Raw genomic sequence first — 5924 nt, forward strand, 5'->3', positions numbered from 1 at the left:
CCTGGAAGTCGCAATTACTCTCCCCTACTTCCCTTAAACTCACTCGTATTTCTGAAGAACAGTAATAACCCTTATGAGCCTAATACATCCCTTCATTCTATTAGGTCTGTTTGTCCTTGCCCTACTTTTTGCAACAGGGCTTTATGAACTCACCCCCACCACTTAGGCTGAGCCCAAAAAATCTTGTCATCCCTACTATTTTCTGTCCAGTCATACTCCTATTCTCTGCTCTCAACTACTTATAAATGCCGTACTCTTGTTTACACTGCTGGTTTACACTGTTTCTTCAAGCCATCACAGCTGATATCTCTTGGTGCTATCCCCAAACCGCCACTCTTAATTCCCTCTTAGAGTGGGTAGATGATCTTTGCTGGCAGGGCACCCTCCAATACTTCCACCCTGATGAAGTTCTATTCTTTACTTTTATACTCTCTCTTATTCTCATTCCCATTCTTATGCCACCTTTTGCCTCTCCCCAGCTATCTCCACCACACTATCAACCTTACCCATTCTCTCCTAGCTGCTTCTAATCCCTCCTTAGTGAACAACTGCTGGCTTTGCATTTCCCTTTCTTCCAGTGCCTACATAGCTGTCCCTGCCTTACAGACAGACTGGGCTACATCTCCTGTCTCCTTACACCTCTGAACTTCCTTTAACAGCCCTCACCTTTACCCTCCTAAGGAACTCATTTACTTTCTAGACAGGTCCAGCAAGACTTTCCCAGACATTTCACATCAGCAAGCTGCCGCCCTCCTCCGCACTTATTTAAAAAACCTTTCTCCTTATATTAACTCTACTCCCCCCATATTTGGACCTCTCACAACACAAACTATTATTCCTGTTGCTGCTCCTTTATGTATCTCTTGGCAAAGACCCACTGGAATTCCCCTAGGTAATATTTCACCTTCTTGATGTTCCTTTACTCTTTATCTCCAAAGCCCAACTACACACATCACTGAAACAATTGGAGCCTTCCAGCTCCATATTACAGACAAGCCCTCTGTCAATACTGACAAACTCAAAAACATTAGCAGTAATTGTTGCTTAGGAAGACACTTACCCTGTATTTCACTCCATCCTTGGCTACCTTCCCCTTGCTCATCAGACTCTCCTCCCAGGCCCTCTTCTTGTTTACTTATACCCAGCCCCCAAAATAACAGTGAAAGGTTGCTCATAGATAATCAACGTTTTCTCGTACATCATGAAAATTGAACATCCTCCTCTATGCAGTTACCCCATCAGTCCCCATTACAACCTCTGACAGCTGCCGCCCTAGCTGGATCCCTAGGAGTCTGGGTACAAGACACCCCTTTCAGCACTCCTTTTCACTTTTTTACTTTACATCTCCAGTTTTGCCTCACACAAGGTCTCTTCTTCCTCTGTGGATCCTCTACCTACATGTGTCTACCTGCTAATTGGACAGGCACATGCACACTAGTTTTCCTTACCCCCAAAATTCAATTTGCCAGTGGGACTGAAGAGCTCCCTGTTCCCCTCATGACACCGACATGACAAAAAAGGGTTATTCCACTAATTTCCTTGATGGTTGGTTTAGGACTTTCTGCCTCCACTGTTGCTCTCGGTACTGGAATAGCAGTCATTTCAACCTCTGTCACGACCTTCCGTAGCCTGTCTAATGACTTCTCTGCTAGCATCACAGATGTGCCACAAACTTTATCAGTCCTCCAGGCTAAAGTTGACTCTTTAGCTGCAGTTGTCCTCCAAAACCGCTGAGGCCTTGACTTACTCACTGCTGAAAAAGGAGGACTGTGTATATTCTTAAATGAAGACTGTTGTTTTTACCTAAAACAACCTGGCCTGGTGTATGACAACATAAAAAAACTCAAGGAAAGAGACCAAAAACTTGCCAACCAAGCAAGTAATTACGCTGAATCCCCTTGGGCACTCTCTAATTGCATGTCCTGGGTCCTCCCAATTCTTAGTCCTTTAATACCCATTTTTCTCCTTCTTTTATTCGGACCTTGTATCTTCCATTTAGTTTCTCAATTCATCCAAAACTGTATCCAGGCCATCACCAATCATTTTATACGACAAATGTTTCTTCTAACAACCCCACAATATCACCCCTTACCACAAGATCTCCCTTCAGCTTAATCTCTCCCACTCTAGGTTCCCATGCCACCCCTAATACCGCTTGAAGCAGCCCTGAGAAACATCACCCATTCTCTCTCTCCATACCACCCCCCAAAAATTTTCACTGCCCCAACACTTCAACACTATTTTATTTTTCTTATTAATATAAGAAGGCAGGAATGTCAGGCCTTTGAGCCCAAATCAAGCCATCGCATCCCCTGTGACTTGCATGTATACGCCCAGATGGCCTGAAGTAACTGAAGAATCACAAAAGAAGTGAATATGCCCTGCCCTGCCTTAAATGATGACATTCCACAACAAAAGAAGTGTAAATGGCCGGTCCTTGCCTTAACTGATGATATTCCACCACAAAAGAAGTGAAAATGGCCCGTCCTTGCCTTAAGTGATGACATCACCTTGTGAAAGTCCTTTTCCTGGCTCATTCTGGCTCAAAAACTCCCCCACTGAGCACCTTGTGACCCCCACTCTGCCCACCAGAGAACAACTCCACTTTGACTGTAATTTTCCTTTACCTACTCAAATCTTATAAAATGGCCCCACCCCTATCTCCCTTTGCTGACTCTCTTTTTGGACTCTGCCGGCCTGCACCCAGGTGAAATAAACAGGCATGTTGCTCACACAAAGCCTGTTTGGTGGTCTCTTCACACAGACGTCTATGAAACTTTCTTTGTCTATCTCTTTGTCCATCTGTCTATCTCTCTCTTTGTCTGTCTCTCTCCCTCTGTCTGTTTCTCTCTCTCTCTCTCTCTTCCTGTCTCTGTTTCTCTCAGTCTGTGTCTCACTGTCTTCTGTCATTCTCTCTCTCTTTATCCGTGTGTCTCTCTCTCTGTCTCTCTTTCTGTCTCTGTCTCTCTCTGTCAGTCTCTTTGTCTGTCCATCTGTCTCTCTGTCTCTTTATTTTTCTGTGTCTCTCTCTTTTTCTTTCTTTTTTGTGTCTTTGTCTCTCTCTGCCTGTCTCTCTCTGTATCTTTCTCTCTCTGTCTTATTCTCTCCCTCCCTGTCCTTTTTCTAAAATAGACTCAGGTAGATCTAATTTAACCTAATCTATTACCAAGGCTGAATTCTTAACTTTAGAAACCCCAGATTTGATTTCCATGCAGAATCCTGTACAGAACTGGTGTGTTATTTCTGGGCTCAGATACCTCATAGATATTGCATATTAATAAAGATCCAACCCTAAAATCTGGATTTGCTTCTCCATTGCCTCAGCTGTGACCTACACTTACTGTCTCGATAAATCGTACGTCTGTTCACCTATGATGCTAGGAGGGTTCTCTCTATCTGTAACTCCCCGTGTCCTAAATGACTCGTGACTGAGCCCTGTCCATTCTGTCTTAAATATGGATCTCCAAACACTTCTCTCCATTTCCAAAACTACCCACAGCCCCTTGAGGAACCACTGGCTCTTTGAAAAACCTCCTAGTAGTGGTTTCAGCTGTTCAGCTAGGAGGCTGAAGCCTGCTGAGAACTTTCCATCCCAGGATTCTGTGAGAACAAAAGTGCCTCTGCTGGGAACTGTGATCCTGGAGACAGTACTTGCTAGCTTCTTCTGAAGAACGCAAGGGACTCTACAAAGCTGACCACTCCCAACAAGGTCAAATGCATACCTCTGCATTGGCCTGCGGCCTCCACCGTACATCATTGTCACTGTCACCATCAGCATCCTTGTGAGCCTGCCCAAGGCACCCACTCCAGGGACACCCTTGGGAGGGTGGCCTTCCTCTGCTTAAGTCCAGCGCTATGACAACCTCCACCCCCATGGTCTCCACTGCACTGTGAAGATGTGGAGAGTAGGGCACATAGGAGAGCAGGAGCGGAGGACGTCCTGAAAGGTGATGATTTCCCTAGACTCTGAGCAACCCAACCACGTCCCCTGTCACCAGCACCCGCCGGACACCACCACTCTCTCCCCTCCTCTGTCCACAGTGCCCCCCACCAGCACACACGCTGGAGGTTACAAAACCACACTGTGTGAGTAGAGCCTGATGCTCTCTTTCTGCGAGCGTATGGAGCACATAGACTGGAGGTTTCTTTGATCTTGGCATCATCGTTCATCTGCGGCTGCATGCCAGGAAACAGATTATCGCATTTTCATTGAATGGAGCAGTGAGCCCATTTCACGACAGGTTCTGTAGAGAGCCTGATTCTCCTGCATGGGTGACATGGCTAGAAGTGAATATCGCTTCTTGAGCGGAGGGGATTCCTTAGGCCATCACGTTTGTGGGACTACTTCTTAAACCTTCCCTTAAGACCACAAAATAGTTTCCACCCCATCCCCCCAACATTTCCCCGGGTGCTGGATGTATCCTATCAAGAGATCCGAACATGACACTTTGAGTTAAACACCTTCGTTGGCTTTGTTTGTTTGTTTGTTTCTGAGACGGAGTCTCACTCTGTCCCCCAGGTTGGAGTTATAGTGGCTCCGCCTTTCAGGTTCAAGAGAATCTCCTGCCTCAGCCTCCTGAGTAGGTAGGATTACAGGCATGTACCACCACACCTGGCTAATTTTTGTATTTTTAGTAGAGATGGGGTTTCACCATGTTGGCCAGGATGGTCTCACAATCCTGACCTCGTGATCTGCCTGCCTCATCCTCACAAAGTACTGGGATGACAGGCATGAGCCACCACGCCCGGCCACCTTCATTAGTTTTAACTGGAGATTCTAGATTCAAGGCACACCTCATTCTATGCCACAGAATGACTTCTTCATCCTGCCCACTCAGGAAAGACCAGCCCCTTGTTATCCATTTCAAACCAATAGTCACCTCATGTTTGGAAAACGGATCCACTGTCAAGTTCAGTGGAGGAATGTGGCATGAAGGACGAGGGACTGTTCCTTCTAACTTGGTCTGAAGAGTGGGGCCTAGGGCTAGAACTCACTGAGGACTGATGGCCCCCTCTATGCTGGATTCCATCAACTCCACCCAGGAACACGGGCCTTGGCAGATCCTGGCCCTTCCTGGCCCTTGAGACATTATCAGAATCCCCATCCTTTGCTAGGATGCCCCGAATGACTGTGGCTTGCACCTCTACAGAAACATTTGAAATCTATCCTCTACACGTGGCCACCTAAAACCACAGGAGTACAGGACACTTGGCCACCATCCATCTCCCCACTTTCAGGAGAGAATGCTGAAAGTCTCTCCCTTGACTTGAGTTCTTCATGGGCACGTGGTCATGATGTAATGAGACCAGATGTATTAAGTCAGGCTGGGTGCAGTGGCTCACACCTGCAACTGCAACACTTAGGGAGGCTGAGGCTGTAGGAATGCTTGAGCCCAGGAGCTCGAGTCAAGTCTTGGACAACACAGCCAAAACCCGAGGTATATACCTGTGGTCCCAGCTACTCAGGAGGCCGAAGTGGGAGAATCACCTAACCATGGGGAGGTTGATGCTGCAGTCAGCCATAATGGTGTCAATGCACCATAGCCTGGTGACAGACAGGGTGAGACCCTGTCACAAACAGATGGTCAGACAGACAGACAGACAGACAGACAGACAACAGCTATATTATGTTCTTCTCAGGGTAGGAGGCGAAAATAACAGAAAACAGCATTTAAGATATTTATTTTAAATTTTAATTTATTTATTAATTTTGAGTCCAGGCCATGAAACCAGCTAATTTTTGTATTTTTGTAGAGAGGAGTTTTCACCATGTTGCCAAGGTTATTCTGGATTGCCTGGGATCAAGGTATCCACGTGCCCTCAGGCCTCCAAAGTGTGGGGATGACAGACATGAGCCACTGCCCCTGACAGCATTGTTTTATTTTGTTTGTTTTTTGTTTTTCCTTTTGCAATAGCTTGTCTTT

General features: G+C 46.3%; 1 annotated feature.

Moving 5' to 3' along the window:
* Positions 2173 to 2804: an enhancer, noted in NCBI's record as "OCT4-NANOG hESC enhancer chr12:34426591-34427222 (GRCh37/hg19 assembly coordinates)". NCBI's record gives its function as "activates a minimal SCP1, AML or CMV promoter by ChIP-STARR-seq in naive H9 embryonic stem cells {active_cell/tissue: H9 hESC(naive)}" and the evidence as "EXISTENCE:reporter gene assay evidence [ECO:0000049][PMID:30033119]".

Source organism: Homo sapiens, chromosome 12, assembly GCF_000001405.40.
Source record: "Homo sapiens chromosome 12, GRCh38.p14 Primary Assembly".
In the NCBI taxonomy this organism is placed as follows: Eukaryota; Metazoa; Chordata; class Mammalia; order Primates; family Hominidae; genus Homo; species Homo sapiens.